This window comes from Homo sapiens, chromosome 6 (genome assembly GCF_000001405.40).
Source record: "Homo sapiens chromosome 6, GRCh38.p14 Primary Assembly".
Taxonomy (NCBI): domain Eukaryota; kingdom Metazoa; phylum Chordata; class Mammalia; order Primates; family Hominidae; genus Homo; species Homo sapiens.
This window is the reverse complement of record NC_000006.12, coordinates 51,758,319-51,782,417: the sequence shown is the minus strand read 5'-3', so window position 1 is coordinate 51,782,417 and position 24,099 is coordinate 51,758,319. Positions and strand designations below refer to the sequence as shown.

At 33.1% G+C, this 24,099-nt stretch overlaps 1 protein-coding gene across 22 annotated transcripts in view; it reads left to right on the top strand.

Moving 5' to 3' along the window:
* The window catches only part of PKHD1 (PKHD1 ciliary IPT domain containing fibrocystin/polyductin), a 472,317-nt gene that overhangs the window by 305,198 nt on the left and 143,020 nt on the right, over positions 1–24,099 (top strand). For all 22 annotated transcript variants that reach the window (XR_001743469.2, XM_017010944.3, XM_017010945.3 and 19 more), the window contains 2 exons: positions 6,497–6,610; positions 9,629–9,716. Coding sequence is in view for 21 of the 22 variants with exons in the window: in XM_017010944.3 (XP_016866433.1) it covers positions 6,497–6,610; positions 9,629–9,716 (202 nt within the window). In the remaining variant the exon portion in view is untranslated. The remainder of the gene's footprint in view (positions 1–6,496; positions 6,611–9,628; positions 9,717–24,099) is intronic.

The window sequence follows — 24,099 nt, the reverse complement described above, 5'->3', positions numbered from 1 at the left end:
GTCCCTAATAAGGCTGGCAGCCAACAGTTAAATAATACTTATTTCAAAATGATATTAAGAATAGAAAGATCTGTTTATTTTCTGATGGATATTAGTTCTCTCACAACATCACATTATCCTTAAATCTATATGTGTGTGTGTAGTTTTAATATATTTTTTAAGCCAAACACTAATACAAATAAATATTCTTCTGTCCTATTGGGACATCAGTTAGTCTTTACTAAAGGCATTTGCAGTAATCATCTTTCCTATTTTAATAATTTTTAAATCAGTCTTTCTTAAACTGTACTTTTGATTCATGAATCCATATAACAGTAATATAATATTTCTTAAGGATTTATTTAGTTATTAAAATAATTAATCATATAAATTTATTATAAACTATTTAATTTTGCATACAAACAAAATAATTTTAGGAAAGCTAGTGAATAAATGAATGAATGATTTTTTTTTTTAGTTAGAAAACTTACAGGAATGTTTCAGTTTAAGGTAAACTTTGTGTTTTCTGAAGTTCCTTGGGCTGGCCATTGAAATAAGTAGTCACTTAATATTTTTGCTTTGAAATGTCTAGTGTCTAGCTAGTACTTTAGGAATTAGATATTACTTGCTAGGAAGAGCTTGCCTTATTTTTTTAAGTTTTCAAATTTAAAGGTTAATTTTAAATAAGTGTGATACCTCCATGGTTACTATTACTGTTTTTTTAACTACTATTATTAATATTGCTAAGAGCCAACATTTTTTAAAAACATGTATTATGTACAGACACTGTGCCATATACTATTAGCATGGACTAAATCATTTAACCTCACAAAAAATGGATGCTATTATTGTGCCTATTTTATCATTGAGGAAGCTGAGGCTTAAAGAAATGAGGTAATTTGCTCGACCTTATGGAGGAAGTTTTCAGAATTTTTGTACATTTTGCAAGTAGTGAATGAATAACATATTTTCATGTTTATTTTAATATTCCATTAATTGAAAAATTGAGAGGCCTCATTAAAAATGAAAATTTGTTAGCCTGAATAAAATCACTTTATGAGGGGTTGGACATTATAATTTGATAATGCCTACTGATTTTTATAACCAATTTTTATCTTACTGGACTGCAAGCCCCATTCTACCCTACATTTATTTTCAGATGGAATCAGTTCTACTGGAGAGGAATGTTTTAGGAATAAGCGAGTCAAATATACACTGGGAATTAAAAGCTAATTCAGAAAAAAATATGTGCTGCAATTTACTTGGTTGAGTGCTATTTACCAGCTTGGGTTTATATGATAGTAAGAAGGTTCTAGAGGCTCTGGTCTTCAGAAAATTGCTATTGCAGGGCATGAGAAAAATGGTTATGCTTTGGGTAGAAGCTCAACTTCCAAAGTAAACACCATTTAACCCACTTCTGAGGACAAGGGAAAAATGTACGAAATTTATTTTGGGGGTAATTTCTTTATCTTTCATGTGCAGTCGTGATATTTATAGAGTTTTAAGATTAACTCAGATAAAAATACAAATTATATAAAAATACAATTTGTTGCTTTGGATTCAGTGACTAGCACCTGGAAAATAGTATATTCAGAAGATGTGACTAAAATTTTGGCCAGTTTCCCCTCTTTTGATCAACAAAACTCATTGAAGAGTATTCTCGGAACATAGTCATTTAACATATTTTTATTAATTGTGGAAAATGACACACATATACAACAAATTTTATAAAATGAAAAATATATGCTTAATTAAACATTATAAATCCAGTCTACTGGATATGTAGTGAGATCTCATTCTTGTTTTAATTTTTATTTCTTTTTTATGATATGATTGAGCATAGTAGAATGTATTTATTATTTATTTGAGAGTATCTTGTTTTGTGAAATAGCTGTTCTCTTACTCTTTTTTAATGATGAATGTACCTGTTTTATATTGATTTATCAAAGTCATTTATATATTTTGGAATGTATCTTGTGTTGGTTATAAGTAGTACAAATGTCTTTTCCCACTCTGTGGCTTGCTTTTTTACTTTCTTTTTTTTTTTTCTTTGAGATGGAGTCTTTCTCTGTCACCAGGCTGGAGTGCAGTGTGGTGCGATCTCGGCTCACTGCAACCTCCGCAACTGGGATTCAAGCTATTCTCCTGCCTCAGCCTCTTGAGTAGCTGAGACTACAGGTGCGTCGCACCACGCCAAGCTAATTTTTGTATTTTTAGTAGAGACAAGGTTTCACCATGTTGGCCAGAATGGTCTAGATCTCTTGACCTTGTGATCTGCCTGCCTCGGCCTCCCAGAGTGCTGGGATTACAGGAATGAGCCACCACATCTGGCTGCTTTTTTACTTTCTTAATGGTATTCTTTGATAATTGGAAAGATCTTTAATATAGCTCACTTTTGAAATTTTTTTATTATGAATTGTAAATTTTGATGGAACTATAGTCAGAAAACAAATGCTGTATAATTCCAATTTTTAAAAATTTGTTAAACTGCTTTATCATCATCATATGATCAGTTTTTTTAAATGTCTTGTGCAAGGTTTAAAAGAATGCGCATTCTTTGTGGGTCTAGTTTTCCATCTATGCCTGTTATGTCAAATATGCAAATTGCATTATTCAAAACTGCTGTATCATTATTGTATTTTTTTTTTTAGCAACAGTTGTGTTGGCTTTACTACAAGTATTATAGGTATATCCATTTGTCCTTGTAGTTCTGTTGATTTTTGCAGTATATATTTTTAAGCTATAATGGTAGGTACATAAATGCTTAAAAGTTGTAATTTACTGGTGAAATTAGTCTTTTATTACTAGGGGGTATTTTTCTTTATTCCAATTGTTTTCTCCAGGAGGGTTGGTAAAAATTACCAAGTTAAACATTTCTGGAATAAAATATCTTCAAATAAACTCTGCTGGGAATACATAGTTTCTTCTTGCGCTCACTGAGAGAAGGAGGCAATCAGGTAAATGGCCCTTACAGTATAGTTTTAGAAGTATTGTAGCAAAACATGGCATTCTGTGATAGCCCTTAGAAGGTCACTTAACCCAGACTTAGTTGACAAGGGCATTTCCAGAAGAGGTGGCATCTGAACTGGGTTTGAAAGTATGTAAGAGTTGGCCGTGACAAAAACAGGAATGAAGGCAGAGGGGGGCAGAGGCAAGGGAGTATATGGTTGCTTGGGGACTTGTATGTTTCAGCTATTAAGTGTGTCAAAAAGTCTGGGAAGAAAGGAAGGAGTTTAAAATGGACAAAAATATTTCTAATTGTTTGCTATTTCAAGGTGTTTTTAAATGTTGCCAATTATAAATAAATAACACTGCAGTGGAGAACTTTGAGCATTATTCTTTGTCCTTGTCCCCTACTAGTTCTTGAGGACAAGTTTCTTGAAGTAGAATTACTTTAGCAAGGGGTACAGAAGATTTTACACACAAAAGGGGACATCTAATTCAAGATCATAGAAGGCTTTTAGGAATAAATTACGGTGGAGCCAAGTTTTGAGGGATGAATCAGAGTTAGTTAAGATGAAGGTAAAACATAAATGCTGGGAAATCTCATGAGCACAGAGGAGAGTGAGTTGAAGGAAGGGTAAATAATTTCTTACGGGTTGGCTTGGTACAAGGTCTGGTGAGTCATGTTGACAGAGTGGGCTTAAGTGCAAACTAGGATTATACTTGATTCCATCAAAGAGCTTTAGTTAATAAAATAATGAAATGCCTTTTTTTCTTATTCTTACCTTTTGAAGTTCCTGGAACCCATTTGTACCATATTCCCCAAATAATTATAATGATTATCTTTCATATGCCAGAACTCATTTTCTACCATCTCTCCAGGTGATTTTAGCATCTGGAACACATTGTTTCCCCTTCACTGCCCACCATCATACTAAGTAATGCCTGCTTCCCTTTACTTCTTTTCTATTCCTCCATATCCACACGTCCTAGGATGGTACTTATTAAGTCTAAGGCCCAACTTCGCCATTTAACAGCTGTGTGATTCCTGACAAGCTACTTAACCTCTCTTTGCCTCAGTTTCCTCATCAGAACCTCAACTGTATTCATCATAAAATTGTGAGAATTAAATTGTGCATGTGAAAATATCCGGAATGTCTTTGCAGCACAATGACAATTATTTTTCCTCCCATTATGAATACATAAATTTGCCCAGGTTTAATATGCCTCTTAGTATAGTTTAGAGAAGCTTTACAAAGGTAAACCAAGGATGAGCTGCGTATCCTGAGCATCTTCTGTCTCAGAGGTGGCTACCCTCATTTAGGGGCAAAGTCCACGCTGGAGAGAGCACCTCACCTTTCTTTGATTGCTAGATTGAGAAGAAAATGAGGATCTCAGCCTTTAAAGCTTTCCATTTATCAGCTTTTACACATTCAAGAAGCATTTCATTTTTATGTTGCAATAGCATGTATTTCCTTCTCTTAGGTCACCTTTGCCTTCTTTGTACTTAGTCCCTATTCTTCATCTTTCGTTTTCTCTCAGTTACAAAAAGGAAGCCAAATTCTGGCCATTGCAGATAGCAAAATATCACGGCAGGCTAACTAATTTTGCCCAGACTTTCTGCGAAAGCTCCACATGTGCTGCAGTGTTGGGTTGCATAATTGATTTAATCTCTAATTTTAGAGGAACGCTGAACTCTTTTTGTGGGACTCTGCATACATTTCTCTAGGGCAAAAACTGTCCTACTTTTTTCTCTCTGGTATCTCTTTAGTGCTAGGCCACTTTTTTTTTTTTTTTTTTTTTTTTTTTTTTTTTTCCCAAAGACTCTAAACTACCCTCCGTGAAATAAATGAAATCACAGTTGGAAAACAGCTTACTGGACAGACTTGTAATGGCAAGATAACAGCTACGCCATACACATTTACTAAACATTTTCATCCTCCCCTGCTTCCCTTCTTTCTGCTCTAGCACATCTTTATTTTCACTAAGATGATGCATCAGGCTCTCAGCTGAGGAGTGGCATTACCTACACAGAGGAGCAACACACCTTTGCATATTATTGGAAATACATAGGCTTGCTCACCCATTGACCTACTATATGCCTCTAGGCAGATTTACTTACCTGTCTGAATCTTGCTTGCTTTCAGCAGAGTACTAGAGTAATGGCTGTGAAGGCTGAACTATAAAAATAGGTATGTAGCAAGCTTTAGACTTACCTTGTGCCTTTTGGCTATCCAGGTATATAGGAAGTGTCAGCAAGGGGGGATGATTTTATGTTGCTCAAAAGACCAGCAACCAAGATGAAAACCAGGCAATTGTAAGTTTACTAGTTATTTCACATTGTATTTAGCAATGTCATTTTTGGTTATCTTTTCGGGAATTTATATACTGGGAAGTCGCATTTGATAGCCGGTGGTTTTTATTAACCTGTCTGATTTGGAATATAATTTTGGGATTACCTTCCCACCAGTTACTTCTCAAACAACTGACTTTAATAACTTTAGTATTTTTGTACTCTAAGACATATGTTCCATTGAAACTAACCTTCCTCAGGTCCATACTCACTAACGCTAATTTGACAAATTCCCTGAACAATTCTCATACCATAGAAGTATGAATTTTCATACCAAACTCCACTGTTAACATCAATAAAATTAGGTCAGAAAGAATTCCAACTGCTGTCTGAGTATCATAGCCTTATGTCTTTATGAGTCTTTATGCTGCTAAAAGAATTTAGTTTTAGAAAATAACCTCTTATCTGTTAAATAAACACTTAGCATAAACAGATCTGTGTTCAAATAGATTCTGTTACTTAATAGTTGGATCAATTTAGACAAGTCCCTTAACCTGTAAGCCTCTTTATGTGCAAATATTTAAAACTGGGATAATAATTATACTGACTTCTCAGGTTTGTTGTGAGGAGTAAATGCTAAAATGCATATAAAGAGATTTGAAGGTTATCTAGCCATAGACAGTGTATCAGGCAGGTTTTGCCATAATAATGGTGTGTAACAATCCCCAAATCTCAGTGGTTTACATCAAGAAATATTTGTGTTAGACTTAGTTGAACTTGGCTCCAGCTTGTGCATTCTATTCAGGTTTGCTCTGCATATCTCTTCATTCAGATACCACAGGCTATTTAAGAAATTCTGTATTCATGGTAGAGAACAACATTGAAAGAGATCTGGTAAAAAATGAAATAAAACAAAACAAAACAACTTGCCAAGTCCCTTAAAGCATCAACTGAAAACTAATATTCCTACCACTTTCACACAAATTTCATTGGTCAAAGCAAGTCATATGACCAGGATAAATATTAGTAGGTCAGGAAAGTTTACACTGCCCTAATAAAGAAAGAAGAGTGAATACCTGGTGAATAATACATGAGTCTCCTTCAAAGAAGTTTACTGAATCTTTTTTATCCTACTCTTATTTCATCTGCATGACCATTGACTCCTCCATATAGTCTACTTCACAGTATCTACATTGCATTATTGAAATTATACTGCAATTTCTCCCTCTCTTTCTTTTAATTTCAAATTGATTTGAATGATATACTTTTCTTTGTAAACAGGTACTTTAGAAAATCCCTTAGAAAAGGAACAAAAGCTTCTGATTCTCCTTAGAGCCTCAGAGGGAGTCTTTTGTGACCGTATGAATGGAATTCATATTGACCCAGGAACAATTGGTAAGAGTATAATATAGTTTTTATTAAAAATAAAATGCATGTGTGTGTATTGTGTGCTTGTGTCTGATAGAGAAATACTATTCATAGAACATATGCTAAATTCCAAACACCCTTTTAGGCAATTTATATTTATTATTTCACTTACCAGCTCTCTTGTGAGTAGTGTCCATTTTAGAGATGTCAAAACTAAGACTCAGAGATGATGAACGACATGCAGAAAACCACACAGCTTTATAGTGTCAGCATTATGGATTAAGATCCAGATTAGTCAGACACTAAAGTTTCGACTGAGTCAATATTATCAACTATAAATACTACTCGATTATTGATACATTTATACAACTGATAGATCTATAAATTAATAAGGAACATTCACTGTTGACAATTTCTTTATTTGCTATTGCCACAATACCAAATGCTATTTTAAATTGGTCTATGTAAAAGTACAGAAACGGGGACTGGCCTTGTATAACCATATGTATGTATCCCCAACTAACTCAGTTTTGAGGCATAAGAGAATGTTCATCAGATTTAAAGTATTTTCTCACTTTTTCTATATGGGCATTACTAATTTTATAAGTAAAGAGGGATAACTCTTGGCATGAAGCAATTTTCTTCAAGAATGTTCATTTTTTTGGTTATTTTTCCCTTACTTATATAATAGTTGAAATAAGTTCACTATACTTTATTACTCTTTTAGCTATTGTATTGTCACACAGCTTAAATGTTATTATATTTAAAAATATGTTATTATATTTAAGCTGTGTGACAATACAATAGCTAAAAGAATAATAAATATGTTATCATATTTAAGCTATGTGACAATACAATATCTAAAAGAATAATAAAATATAGTGAACTTATTTCAACTATTATATAAGTGAGAAAAAAATTAACTAAAAGAAAAAATATGAACATTTTTAAAGAAAATTGGTTGTTAATTTTCTTGGATTCTCCCTTAGATGCATTGCTGTGTTGGAGGTTTTCAAGTAAGTCATTTTTCCTTGTGGAAAAAGAGCAAGGACCATCATTTCTGAGGTTTCTGAACACTATGAGATATAAATTTAATATTCATTAGCAGTCAATGGCTCCCTCTCTGGATCTCAGTACTCAATAGAGTGGAGGCAATAATGTTAAGCTAGTATGAAGTTTCTTAACTTAGTTCCATAATATATAACTATTGTCATATAACACTTTGATAGCACTTTAAGTTTCCAAAGGTTTTTTCCATGCATGCTATTTATTTTATCTTTCTAATAACAAGAGGTTCAAGAATGTTTTAATTTTTCTAAGTTGACAAACTAGATGGATTATTATAAGAATATTTGATCTTCTTTTGCCTGTGGTATTCACTCTTTTCTGTAGCGTGATAACACTGGAACAAACTTTCTGTTAGGACTATCCACAGATGCCTGCTCTGATCCCCGATCCTGGCTGTACGGTCAAACTAGTGTCTTTGAAATTTTCTTTGATACTAAATTGAAATAAAGAATGAAGTATTTCTTTTACTGCATGCTCAAATTTTTGTAGTATCATAAGTAGATGACAAATTTTAATCGTATTAAATCATTTGTAATCTTCTTGAAACAACTAAGAAATGGTGTCATTTTACAGTAAACCTTTGATGATTGGAAATGACCAAGAAATCTGCTTTTCTGGTCAATTGAATTTTCTGGATAATTCAAATTTAAGGACATGAACTGCTTTTTGTTATAAATGCTTTGGTTGAAAATCTCTTTAAATTACTTCAGGATCCTTCTCAGCCTAGCTTACTTAGCCTATAGTGAAAAAAGATGGATTTTGGTTTTAGATGATGATGTCTTATGAAATATATAAATGCTATTATGAAAGATTGGTTTCAGGACACGTCCTGAAAATGGGGTTCTTTTTATATCCATTTATCCTGATTTAGTTTTCTTATCTTCTGACATTTTCATAGTTGATATATGGAAAAAATGTGGATGTTGATATAAACAGTTGGTTAAGTTCTAATTAATTGGGATTATTTTTTTTTTGGTCCTTATCAGATGAACACCAAAGTCATATTATTTGTACCTTAGTGGTCTCCTGCTTCTTTTATTTCTATGTTTTCTGATGAAAATTGTAAAATTTTTAAATTTTTAGATTAATGACTTGCAATAAAATACAGTGCATCAATCCAGGGATATGCAGACAATACATTTGGGTGCAGGAATAAAATATTAGAACTTCTATTCCAATATATATTAGTATATTCATATATGTGTATATTTTTTATCTAAATATAAATATCTGAGTTATCTAAATAAAATAAATATATATGTGCTGAGAGTACACAATCACATGTTTTTTCTTTTTCTGGTGAGGTTCATGGTCAAAACATTTTAAACCACTAGAATATGAGGAATTATGATTGAAAATGGCAATAAAACATATAGGAAGAAAGACATGAAAAAATAAAACTGAGCTGTATCAAGCACATTTCTCCTAAGCCTTTAATTTATTAGTCTGAAATAAACTGCATTTTGAAACAAAGGACTTAGAAATCTCTCCCTTGATATTTATAAGACAAAATATTAAGTCCAGCCACTAAACATAAAGCTAATAGCTCCAAAACTCTATCCTAAGGAAATAGAGTTAACCATGCTTTTGGAGAACCTAGTGTGTAACAAAAAATATCAAAACTGGTTAACTTCCAAAAGAATTGCAAATGGTTTGGAGTCACGTAAGAGTGGAAAGGAGTACCTCTTCAACTTTAGTCATTAGAGTGGTCTATTTTCCCACCTTTTAGATTATTGTGATGTGGTGTAGCATTCTTTTTTCTATAGCATTTGAGAGAATAAATTTCATAGCCATGTGAGATATATCTTAGTATTGTAAAATAGAGCATTTAAATAATGCTTTTGATAATATGGGACCTTCATATAGAGATTCTATATCACATGTTTTGCACAACAGCCTCTGGAATGACTTTTACTTACCTGGCTTTCATTCCTCTGAAGGATTTTTCTATCCAACTGTTACTCCTTTTATTTTCAGGGGTTTATGGGAAAGTTCATCTTTACAGTGCTTATCCTAAGAACTCCTGGACACATCTTGGAGCTGATATTGCCTCAGGAAATGAGAGGTAAGGAATGAGAGTAACTTAGGGCTTTTTCTTGGTTGTTGTTTAGGTTGCTTCTGCTTGAGATTTTGTTACAATATGAAACTGATTTTTAGGTTAAACATTATAATTAAAGGATGAGCAAGTAGAAAAATAAGCGATTATAGGGAATTTAAAAAATATCTCTATAACATAACAGAAGGAGAACAAAACATGCAAAAGGTAATAGAGGAACACAGTTTATTTCAGGAGAAAATTTTAGATAATACATAATTATTGCTGTCCATAAAATCTTAAAATATATGAATTCCATGAGATAAGAGATGAAGTATGAGGTAAGAATACTATGTCTAAGCTGAAAAGGTACCTCATTAAGATATAGACAGAAATAAAATAGGAGGGAGATGAAACATATGAAGTATATTGTGAAATTTAATAATGCATTGGAGGCAGTAAAGAACAGAGTCATTGCTTCCTCAAAGAATAGGTAAAATGAAGAACAAACTGATGGAGACCTATCCAAACACAGAGGATAAGACTAGGAAATAAAAATAACAAAAGATAAAGTACTAGAAATAGAGATCAGAAAATTAAAAGCTATCTATGGGTCATATGTCTTTTTAGTAAGAACTCAGAATAACTACAACAGAAAGAATAATGAACACTATAACTGAAATACACATAGAAAATATGGGAATAGTTACATTTTATTAGAAAAGATTAATATCAAGGATGGTGATTGCTTTATTACATTATCTTCATAGTATAAGAAAAATAGAGTGAACAAAAAGTAAAGGAAAGGAACATCAAGCTTTCTAGCCTTAGCATTCACCTCTACACCATCACATGTGGGAAGATCGTGATGCCACATCTATAAATGTTTAAGGAAAAAAATATTGTGACCAAAGAATTGGACACACTGCTAAGACGCTCATGTGGAAAATGGAAGAAAATTCAGTGTTCAAATAAAGAGATTAAACTAAACTTAAAATTTGGGAACAGAAATAAAATTTGAGAATAATATAAATAACTAAGAAGCACTGAAATAATTTAAATATTATAGTGTAACTATGGTTATTAAAACAAAACAAATTCCTTTTTTTTTTTTTGACACAGTCTCACTCTATTGGCCAGGATGGATTGCAATGGCACAATCTTGGCTCATTGCGATCTCCACCTCCTGGGTTCAAGTGATTTTCCTGTCTCAGCCTCCCAAGTAGCTGGGATTACAGGCACACACCACCATGCCCAGCTAATTTTTGTACTTTTAGTAGAGATGTTTCACCATGTCAGTCAGGCTGGTGTTGAACTCCTGACCTCAGGTGATCCACCCGTCTTGGCCTCCCAAAGGCCTGGGATTACAGGCATGAGCCACCGTGCCTGGCCTAAAACAAATTCTAATAATTGTTCTTGTAAAAGAAATGACATAACACTTGAAAAGTTAATGTATTAGTTGGAGTTCTCTTTATACAAAAAATACATAATCAGTAGGTTATGTGCATGTGTGTGTGTGTGTGTGTGTGTGTATCCTACCTGTTATATGTATGTAAATTATACAATAGGTATAGTAAATATTAATATACATACATTTATATATAAAGAGATGTATTTCAAGGGATAGATTTACACAATTATGGGAGCTGGAGAGTTTGAAATCTGTAAGCAGGCCAGTATGTTGTAAAGTACGGAAGAACTGGTTTGCCGTCTTAAGGCAGAATTTCTTCTTCCCCAAAGAAATCTCACTTTTGCTTTTAAGGTCTTCTGGCTGATTGATGAGGCCCACCCACATTATTGGGTGGCCTAATCTCCTTAAACTCAACTGTGTTAACCACATTGACAAAATACCTTCACAGTAACACCTAGATTAGTGTTTGATTGAGTAACTGTGTATAATAGCTTAGCAAATATGACACATAAATGAATCTTCACCATTCAAAATTATCAGATAAAAATCTGGAACTATAGCCATAGGAGGTAAATATGAGTTAATTTGTTTTACTAGAATTTTGAATAGCATATATACTTTCCAAATCACCAGTGGGAAAAAAATGAAAGAAACCATAAAATAAATAATAAAATAGAAAAAAAAAGAAAATGAAATGGTAAAAGAATAAAAGCAACAAAAAAGGTATATTTAAAACAAACAGAAATAAGAAAGTAAGTACAAATTTGCCAGTTACAGAAACAAAATATTTGTTAAAAATAATGCTATATAGAAAAATTGGGTTAAAAGTCAAAATATAATTATAACTTTTTTACCAGAGGAAAACTTAAAACCAACTAGGAGAAATTTAAAGTTAAATATTGGATAAGAATAAATCATTGACATCTAAAACAAAATAAAGGAGCCTCAAAATTATTAACAAAACAGGTAAAAATCAAAATAAATGTTTCAAATTGGTTAAATAATTATAATTTACATTAGTAAAGCCTTCAATCATAGCAAAACACTAACAGTCAGAAAAGTTTTACAGCAGATAATACAATATAGAAATATAAAGCAAATCTCTAGGAAATGTAAGGTGAAATTGACAGAAACAAAAATCACGATCTAAGACACGTATTTATCTCTTTCAGTTCCAAATCTTTTAATTAGGTTAAAAAAGGTAAAGAAAACAAGAAGAACATGAATAATATAATAAAAGCAATTTAATTTATGTATCAAACTACTCCTTTACCCTAAAAAATATATATCCATAATTACCTTAATAAATTTTAATAATAATATGTGATCACAATATAATAAACATGGAGATTAAAATAAAATATAAACCAACAATCTTAATTTCTTACAAGAAAAAAGGTATAATAAATTATCTTCTAAATAACTTTTATATCCAAGAAAATATCAAAACTTTACCAACAGAATAGCTGGGAAGTAACAATAATGAGAATATAGCGTACGAGATATTATAGAACATGTCATCACATTAAATACTTTCATGATTGAATAAGCAAACAAACTTTTCTTATTGACAGTTTTCATATTGACAGTTATTCTAAACAAAAAATTCTTCTAAACAAAGAAGATTAACTGTCAATATGAGAAATTAGAAACAAAATAACCCATAAGTCTAATGAACTCAATCAATGCAAGAAAAAGGCAGAAATTGGTGAAATAGAAAGTAGAAAATTAGTAAGATTAAATTTTTAAAAAGAGGTAGTGGTTTAATCTCTAATAACTTTAATCATACCAAGAAAACCCCAATATATAAAATGAGAAATGACAGTTCAAATGTAAGTACAGAATAGTTTAGAGTTATAATGTAAAAAATATAAATCTATATAGTGCAACTTTAACATTTCTGAGAAAAATACTTTATAAAAAGGAATTTTTAACGATAATTTAGAATTATCATAATTGGCTAGAGAAGAATAAAACAAAGAACAAGGAATAGTGAAAGATATAAATTTATCAAAGATTTATCTCCAAAAATACATTTGGCTCACATAAATTTATACCATGTTCTTCCAATCAGTTGAATATCAAATAATTCCTATGTTATATAATCTATTCCCAGTTAATTTAAGGGAACAGGCCTAAAATAATCTTTACACTTGTTTATAGCTACTAAAATAACTCAAAAAAGAAAACTGAGAAAACATCCAAATAGAATGTAAAAAATCATAAATAAAAAAGCAACAAACAAAGCAAGCTATGTTTGAATGTGTTTCATTCAAGTGAACAAAGATAATTTGAAATGAAATAATCCATTCATATAATTTACCTTAATACCAGATGTGAAGATTAAGAACATGACCAATTTGGCACAAAAAGGAAATATGTTTAATAAAATTCAGCAAACATTCTTGGAATAAACAGTAAATGAAGACTACAAGGATACTTCTTTTAAATTAATGCTATTTATTTGGATGGTATAACCATTAGTTGAGAAGCACTGGTTTAAGTAATAATACAAAATAAACATTAAAGGATTCCTCTCAAACAGTTTTGTATTTTAGGAGAAAAACCGACATTAAATATTATCGTTTGTTACAACAATCATTAAATATTATTATTAAAGTTTTAGCCAATATATTCAGGCAAGAAAAATACATTAGATCCAATTATTGAAAATAATCCAAACTATCTTTTTATGTGGTTTATAAAATGGATATTTCATCCTATAAAACTAGAGAATTATCTGAAAAACTCTCAGTTGCCTTCAATAAATGCACATCAACATCTTTTTAATATACAAGTAGTAAACTTTTAAATTATAATGTACAAGCTTATTTAAAATTTCAACTGCAAATATCTAGAAGTAAATTTAGGAAAAATTACAGAACCTATAAAAACAAAACTATAAAACACTATTCAATGGCATAAAAAGAGTTCAGAATAAATGGTGATGCATAACAAAAATTTGATGGTTCACTATTTTAAAGATGTCAAATCTAATACAACTTGAATCACAGGTCTAATGTATGCATCAGAATCTGACTCATTAAATTCTTTGGAATAATAAACACTTGAAAATAGCCAAACATTACTCATCTGACAAAGGGCTAATATCCAGAATCTACAATGAACTCAAACAAATTTTCAAGAAAAAAAAAACAACCCCCTCAAAAAGTAGGTGAAGCATATGAACTGACACTTCTCAAAAGAAGACATTTATGCAGCCAAAAAACACATGAAAAAATGCTCATCATCACTGGCCATCAGAGAAATGCAAATCAAAACCACAATGAGATACCATCTCACACCAGTTAGAATGGCGATCATTAAAAAGTCAGGAAACAACAGGTGCTGGAGAGGATGTGGAGAAATAGGAACACTTTTACACTGTTGGTGGGACTGTAAACTAGTTCAACCATTGTGGAAGTCAGTGTGGCGATTCCTTGGGGATCTAGAACTAGAAATACCATTTGATCCAGCCATCCCATTACTGGGTATATAATCAAAGGATTATAAATCATGCTGCTATAAAGACACATGCACACATATGTTAATTGCGGCACTATTCACAATAGCAAAGACTTGGAACCAACCTAAATGTCCAACAACGATAGTCTGGATTAAGAAAACGTGGCACATATACACCATGGAATACTATGCTGCCATAAAAAATGATGAGTTCATGTCCTTTGTAGGGACATGGATGAAACTGGAAACCATCATTCTCATCAAACTATCACAAGGACACAAAACCAAACACTGCATGTTCTCACTCATAGGTGGGAATTGAACAATGAGAACACATGGACACAGGAAGGGGAACATCACACTCTGGGGACTGTTGTGGGGTGAGGGGAGCGGGGAGGGATAGCTAAATGACGAGTTAATGGGTGCAGCATACCAACATGGCACATGTATACATATGTAACAAACCTGCACGTTGTGCACATGTACCCTAAAACTTGAAGTATAATAATAATAAAATAAAAGAAAAGAATAAGAGGAACATACTGAGGGACACCAAAATATGATAAATCAAATGTAACTAAATATAATAAAAGGCCAAAAAAAAGAGAAAATAGCCAAACATTAGCATTTTTTTTTAAATGTATGCCTCTAATATGAGTAATCTGTTGTTGGCACCAAAACTAAAAAGAATACCAAGAAATAAACACAGTCATGCATTATTTTTAGAATTTGAATAAATTAGCATTTGAATTTAGTTGAAGACAGGCTGGAATAATTAGTAAATCCTTTAGAAAAATATAAAATTAGATTCCCACTTTATGTTTTACTCTAAATTATAGGTGGATTAGAAAACAAAATGTAAAAAAGTTAAAACCATAAAATTATTTGAAGAAAATTTAAGTAAACATGTAATTTAAAGCAGTAAAGACTGCTCTGATCATAACAAGCAAAACAATAGCCACAGCAGTAAATAATAGATTTGACAATATAACAAGGTCAATATTTCTGCATGTCAGTTACAAAATGTGATGACAAATGATCAACTAGAAAATGTTTGCACCCATTAACTCGTCATTTAGCATTAGGTATATTTCCTAATGCTATCCCTCCCTGTGCACATGTACCCTAAAACTTAAAGTATAATAATAACAAAATTAAAAAAAAAGAAAATATTTGCAGCATACAATAGTACAGATGAAGGACTAATATTTTTTATATGTCAAGAATGAAAATAAAAATATGAATACACCAGAAACATATTTGTGAAAGGGTTTGAATATGTAAGCCACAAAAAAAATACATCTTGCTAATAAACATATAGAAAAAATGGTCATCTTTACTAGAATTGAATATTAATTAAAACAGTAATGGAATACCATTTTTAAATTTTAATTTGGCAAAGATGGAAAATAGTGAATTCCAAGTTGACAAAATAGAGCAGAGGCTCACATTCACATGGGAATTAATCTTACATACTAGCCTAGTTTTGTAGATAAAGAAATAAAAATATGTATGCATATACATAATAGGGAAATCCCTGGAAGGACATACAGCACAGCAAGGATCCCTGTTGGTGAAATGATAGGTAGCTATCTTGATAGGTATGCTTTGGTGTGCTTTTCTCTATGTACAGAATTTCTTTGTAGAGTAGGTATTATGTTCATGGTTATTTAAAATTATTTATTTGACATGATTTTCACAAATGCTTATGTTTGTCAAACATTGAGCTATGATCTGGAGATATAATATTAAGTAAAAACTCAAACGTTAATCAAATAGTAAATGTAAAATTACATACATGATAAATTCTGTGAAGGGGCGGGTTATGTAGGATTCTGAAAACATGAATATGTCAACTTGAGGCATTTATGGGAAGTTGGAGAAGGCTTCCCTGAAGCATAATTTCAGAGGTGGGATCTGAAAGAAGCATGGACATTAATTAAGCAAAGTGGGTTATATGTGGAAACGGTGTTCTAGCCAGAGCAAACAGCATTCAATTATTAAGCAAATATCTGAGGAATATTTACTATGTGCCAGGTCAGACTGTAAGCACTAGACATATAGAAGAGATTGCAAATTAGAAGAGATTGCTGCCCTCTGGGAGCTCAGATCTTAGTTGAGAGAAAGACGATACTCAAACAAATACAGAAATATAAATGACGTGGTTGAGATTATAAAATATGCTGGTAAGGAAGTCAATATGGTGATATGATCAAAAATAGCTGGGGCAGAAAATGTGAAGGGTACCATTTTAGATTGAATGGACAGGGAAAGTCTCTTTGAGGATGAGAAATTTGAGCTTATACCTGAAGGATGGGTGGGAACCAGCTGGCCTAGGGTGGGGGTAGGGGGGAAACAGGAAGAAGGTCACTATAGCTGGCGCAGAGTGAGCAGAGGGCAGCATTGTCTGATATGGCAAGTGCCAAGTCATACAGGACCTTGTTCAGGTATAAGAGGTCAAAGGGGAAATCACTGAAGGGTTTTATGCAGGAGGATGGTGGAATCTGATTTTTGTTTAAAAAACTTCTCTGGCTGTGTAGATGATGGATTGTGGAGATAACAGTAGAGCTGGGATATCAGTTAGGAGGCCAGTTGAGGCCAGAAATCATGTATCTGGGACTCTGGAAGAGGCAGTGGAGATGGAGAGAACAACTGGTCCTCCTGATGACTGCATGTGGAGGCAAGGAAAGAGTGCTGCAGGTGTTTTGATGGAGCACACTGATGAATGGAGGAAGCACGCACTGAGTTGGGAAGACTGAGAGGGGAATAGGTTTGTCAGGGTGGAAGGCAGCAGGGGCATGCGAAGTTGGAGACACCAAGAGTAGATGCCAAGAAGAAAATCAGATGCATAATTTAGGGCTTGGAAGCAGCCATCTTGGAAGTAGGTGATGTCATTATTGAAGAAGACATGGGTAGAAGAGAGATTTGGAGCATGGGATTGAGATTGGGGGCATTCTAACTTTTTAGATATTGAGGAGTCAACACAGGTGATTGAGAAGCAGAGGGTGGAGACGTGATTCTGTGGTTGGGAGGGAGAATGGAGAACATGAGGGTCTGAAAGAATACCATGATGGTTGATGTGGAGAGTAGGGGCTGATCATGACAGGGTTCCAAGGAGTTGGTTAAGTGTCAGGGCCACATACATTGGCAATATCAAGAATTTTAATCCAGTCTATCATTGTTGGACATTTGGGTTGGTTCCAAGTCTTTGCTATTGTGAATAATGCCGCAATAAACATACGTGTGCATGTGTCTTTATAGCAGCATGATTTATAGTCATTTGGGTATATACCCAGTAATGGGATGGCTGGGTCAAATGGTATTTCTAGTTCTAGATCCCTGAGGAATCGCCACACTGACTTCCACAATGGTTGAACTAGTTTACAGTCCCACCAACAGTGTAAAAGTGTTCCTATTTCTCCACATCCTCTCCAGCACCTGTTGTTTCCTGACTTTTTAATGATTGCCATTCTAACTGGTGTGAGATGGTATCTCATAGTGGTTTTGATTTGCATTTCTCTGATGGCTGGTGATGATGAGCATTTTTTCATGTGTTTTTTGGCTGCATAAATGTCTTCTTTTGAGAAGTGTCTGTTCATGTCTTTCGCCCACTTTTTGATTGGGTTGTTTATTTTTTTCTTGTAAATTTGTTTGAGTTTATTGTAGATTCTGGATATTAGCCCTCTGTCAGATGAGTACACGTGGACACAGGAAGGGGAATATCACACTCTGGGGACTGTGGTGGGGTGGGGGGAGGGGGGAGGGATAGCATTGGGAGATATACCTAATGCTAGATGATGAGTTAGTGGGTGCAGCGCACCAGCATGGCACATGTATACATATGTAACTAACCTGCACAATGTGCACATGTACCCTAAAACTTAAAGTATAATAAAAAAAAAAAAAAGAATTTTAGTTTTTACCCTAAGAGCATTGTGAAGCTGTTGTAGGTTTTTAAGGGGGTAGTATGGATAGGAGGTAACACTTATTATCATACTTGTACATCTAAAATATTGTAGGCAGAATGTAGACAGCAGGAGAGCTTGATAGTAGATCCAGAGACACCCAGCAAGAGACAGTGTAATTGTAGTCAGGGGCTGCAGGAGCAATGGAGAAGTGGGCAGATTTAAAGGCAGGAGATAAACCCTATAAGACACATTGAATATGAAGTGCATTCTTGGTTTCTGGTTTGTGTAGCTGGATAGTGGTGTCATTCACTTGAGGAGGACTAAGTTTAGAGAAAAGATTATGAATTCAGATTAGGTCATGTTGAATTTAAAGTGCTTTTCTGATATTCAAAAGGATTTGTGAAGTAAGCATTTCTAACAAGGATCAATAAGAAACTTTAATTATAATTAAAAGGTTAGCAAGCTGGAATTTGGCAGGAACCATATGAATGGATTTTTCTTATAAGAATGTGTTAAAAACCTCATTTGGAGTCTGAGCTACAGGCTATTTTGAAAGGAACTCAATTTTATTAATTAAAACTATCCATAGTCATTAACTAGCTACCATTTATTTGGTTCTTATCATGTAAGCTTGTTATATGTCAGGCCTCTACTAAGCATTTTACATACATTATCTCATTTAAATCTTTCAATGCTATAAGTTAGGTATTATTATCTGCATTTTATGGATATGAAAACTGAGGCTGGAGAAGTTAAGTAAATGTTCCAAGTTCATAAAGCTAGAAATTCCTGAGGCTGGATTTTTCACCCTGATTTGTCTGATTCCATTGCGTGTGTTCTACATATTACAAATATTAAAAACAAAGTTTCTTAGTATCAGTCCTGAGGAGAAATAATTTAATGAGTTTATACAAATGATGTGCAATTAATGTAGTATATTCATTTTATGGAATTCTTTCTCTTTAAAACCTTTTTTAAAATGTTAAAAATAACTTCAGACTCAAAATAAGTTGCAAAAATAGTAGTTTACATATACCCTTCACTCAGTGTTCCCTGATGATAGCATATTACATAACTATAGAACATTAGCAAATCTGGCAAGTTGATATTGGTACGGTATTAACTGAGCTACAGACCTTATTTAGGCCACCTTTTTAAACATGGCTCTACAATCTTAAAAGTCAATTCAATAAGTCTTTGTCTTTCTAATATATTGTGATATAAGCATATTTCAGATGAACTGTTTCATGAATTTTCACCAAAAGAATTTGATACCTGAAAATATATATATATATATATGTGAATAATGGTAGTGTGAAAACTTCGGAGGAAAAGTTTCATGTTAACTTTATAAGCTTGTATCTTACACAATCAACCAAAGTAAGCTTAGCAAGATATTTTGAAGAAAAATTATTTTCTTTTATTCTGTGTTTTATCAATTTATCTCTAAATTACTCTCTGTTGTTGCTTGCTTGAGTTGACTTGTGAAGACTGATGAACAAAACTGTTGAGGTTTTATTTGGATTGTAAATAAATCAAGACAAGTTAGATTTAGACACAAAAAATTGCTTTTACCCATTACAAATGTTATGTATATCTTTTGCTGTGAGTCTTTGAAGGGTAGCCATGTGATCTTTGAAATTAAATGGTTACTTTGTCAACCAATCTTATGATAAAGATTAGGTTTTATCTTGGCCATTGGAAGATTTTAAACGAGACATGGACAGAGCCTGACTTATATTTTAATCTGATTTATGATGTGTGGAGAATTGACTATTGGTGGTGGTGATGAGGAAGAGATAAGAGTGGAAATAGAGACACTAACTGTTAAGACATTGCTATGGCAGTTTTTTGGGTAACACATGATGATGGCTTAGATTAGGATGGCAGTGATGGAGGAGTAAAGATGTGGATAAATATATGTTGAAGACAGAAGTGACATGACTCCTGATGGACTGAATATTGAGGAAAAGAGAAAGAGAAGAGTCAAAGATCACTCTTAAATTTTTGACCTAAGAAACTAGGTAAGGAGCGCTGCCATTTACTGAGAAGGGGAAAACAGGGAGAAGAGCTGGATTATGAGGAAACTTCCCCCAAATTCTTATTTTTTTCTCATTTCTTATCTCATTGAATTTTCAAGAAAATATATAAGACATCCAGTCTCTTTGTCCTGTTATCCTTTCTTTCTCAAGTGATTGACTTATTTCGTTTTATTTTTTAATTGACAAGTAAAAATTTTATGTATTTATGCTGTACAACATGATGTTTTGATGCATGTATTGCATTGTGGATTGGCTAAATCTACATAATTAACATATGTATTATCTCATATAGTTATCTTTTTTTGTGGTAAGGATACTTCACATCCACACTCAGCATTTTTAAAGAATACAATATATTAATAACTGTAGTCACTATGTTGCACAATAGATCTCTTGAATTTATTCTTCCTATCTAACTGAGATTTTGTATTCTTTTATCAACATTTCTTCAACCTTTGCTTCCCCCCACCACCAGCCAAACCAGCAGCCTCTGGTAACCTGCATTCTACTCTCTAGTCCAGTGAATTCCACTCTTTTTGATTCTGCATGCAAGTGAGATCATGTGGTATTTGTCTTCTTGGGCCTGGATCATTTCACTTAACGTAGTGTCTTCCAGGTTCATCTATGTTGATGCTAATGACCAGATTTTCTTCTTTTTAAAGGCTGAATAGTATTCCAGAGTGTATGTGTATACTGCATTTTCTTTATCCATTCATTTGTCGATGGGCACCTAGATTGACTCTATATTTTGGCTCTTGCGAATAATGTTGCTGTGAACATGGGAGTGCAAATATCTCAGACATACTGATTTCATATCCTTGGAATATATATCTAGAAGATGGATTGCTGGATCATATTCTATTTTTAATTATTGAGGACCCTCCAAACTCTTTTCTATAACGGTTGTACTAATTTACATTTCTACTAACAGTATGCAAGGGTTCTCTTCTCTTTCCATCCTCACTAACCTTTGTTATCTTTCACTGTTTTGGTAATTTTGACAGGTATGAGGTGTCTGAAGTGATTTATTAACATACTCTGTTATTTACAAGGAAGAAACTGTGAACTGAATAAGAAATCAAGTCATTTGTTACCTCATCCTTTTCTCCAGGCCCTAAACCTTTAAATTGAATGTCATAATTGATTATATCTATTCCTTTATCTCCTATGTTAAATTAATGATGTGTTCTTTGTATATATTTTGTTTGGAATGTTTCTTTTTTCTTTCCTATCTGCTACATTCTCATTGCAGCACTTCACCCATGGCTCTCTACAACAACTTTTGTACTGGCTCCTTAAGTACCTAATAAATGAAATAAGAGTATCAGATGCAGTATTCTTGCATCTCCTCCTTGACTGTATAACTTCCTATTTATCCTTAAAGATTCCATTACATCAGACACAGGACTTTAGGTATCTCCGACTCTACAAATTTTCCCATCATCTGAACGTAAGATGTGATTTTATGATTTGTAATTTTAAGAAAAGCATAACACTAAGATGTTTAACATTTGTGTGTCCTGTTCCTCCAAGTGGCTTCTATAGGGGAGAGATATATTTTTGTTATTGTTGATTTGGTATATTAGTGTCTAGTGCACAGCAGAACATAAAGAAGGGCTCCAATAAATGCATGCTACATTGACTTGATGTGTATTTTCTAGAAATCAGAACTTATTGAGCTTCTTGGTTCAATGGCATATTATCTAACAAATGAGAGAATCTTGAATTTAATTTCAAATACTACTATAATTTATTTTGCTCATTCCTCAAACTTTATTATTATAACAACTTAGTTTAAGTATTAGAATATAGAGTTGGTGGCCTTATGCACTCATTGGCAAGAGTTCAGGATCACATATGTAACCTCTAAAAGATGATGATTTTTTTTCATATGTTAGAGGTCCAATAAACTATTGGGTTCTATTGCCAAATTCACTACTATTATGATGCTGGTGAAAGGCATATGTTTGGAAGGTAGGTTGGAAATATATTCTGCAATGAAAAGGAGTTTGAACTTTGAGGGCAGGCAGACTAATTCTAGTTAGGTGGTTAGCTAAAGGTGTAACTCTGAGTAAATTACTCTCTCTGAGCCTCAGTTTTATTTTCTTTAATTATGTGAGTAACAATACATTGCTAATAGAATAGTTATAAGGATTGAGGGAGTTAATGCACATGAGGTGTTAAGCCCAGTTTCTGGCACAGTGTAAGCCTTAAGACAGGGCAGCTATTGTGGCAATCGGGGCTCTTTAAGTCGAAAGTACAAGTAAAAGTAACCCTTCTTAAGCCATTTTGAAGACTGTATCAAGCCCTTCCTCTCCTCCTCTACTTTTTTACTTCTTTATTTCAACCTCTTTTTTTTCTACTGGAGAATAGTTTTCTTCATTCTGTATGGTGCAAGTGAACTCAGATCTGTTTGGCTTTTCCTAGCTATACCACCAGTGAGGAGGTTACTACTAATTCCCCTCAGTTTCATTCAAAATTCCAGGGGAAAGATTTTGGTGAATGAATGCAGGTTGGATCCTATGCCCAGCCTTTGGTGAAGGGTTTGTGGGACTTTAACCTGCAGCTCTCACAGATTTCAGTATAGTGGATGGGAGCAGTTCTCAGATGAGGTGTGAGGGATTTCCTGGAATGAAGCAGAGAGGAAGTCAGGTAGACAAATAATTGGTATTGACTATAGCTATAATTGTTGTCACTCACCATCTTTACCAGCATCATTATAGAATTCAATTTCTTCTCTATCAAGTGTAGAATAATACAGTCTGAGAATCCTCATTACATTTTAATGGCACTGATAGAAAAATTTTAAACTGAAGTTACAAAATGAAAAAGACTAAATATTAGTAGAGTTCAGAAATCTGTGGCCATCCCTATTCCTGGAGGTGCAGGTGAGACAGGGCATGTTTTGTGATATGTACACTCTGAGCCTGTGGTCAAATGCAGTTATTATCATTAAGATCTTACAAGTATTAAGTTAACAAATTCATTTAAGTTGTAGGTGTTTACACGTGAATGTCTTACACATTTTTGTAAAAACTTTTAAATCAAATTTTGAAGCATTTTTAAATTCTCTGTAAATAATAAGTATTATATTTTTGTCTAGTAAATATTATTTTTCTCTGAACTAGGTCAAAAGTTATGCCAAAATAAAGAAACTGTACTGATATTTTGTTTATATTTTCTTAGAGTTATCTTTAAAAAGACTTCCACAGTGATTATTCATAATTTCCTCTCTCTTCTCATATGGTTTCCATTTAGGTACAATTATGTTGAAAAAAAGTCTTTTAATTTTTTGTTTATTTATTATTTGAGGTATGTTTTGCTCATAACAACAAGCAAGTCTCCCCTCTTCCCTGAAGATCTAGGAGTCATACTAATCAGAGGAATAAAATACAGAGAATACAGCTGGGATTTTGAGCCAGTCGTTAAGCTAGTTCGTATGATTGAAGGGTAACCATAATGTTTGAAGACTGGAACTAGGAATAGTGGATGTTGGAATTTAAGGAAAACTGACATTTGACTAGCAGAACCAACTAGGCTATTGATACTGAGACCCCAGTTTCCTCTGAAGTTACCACTGTTGCTAT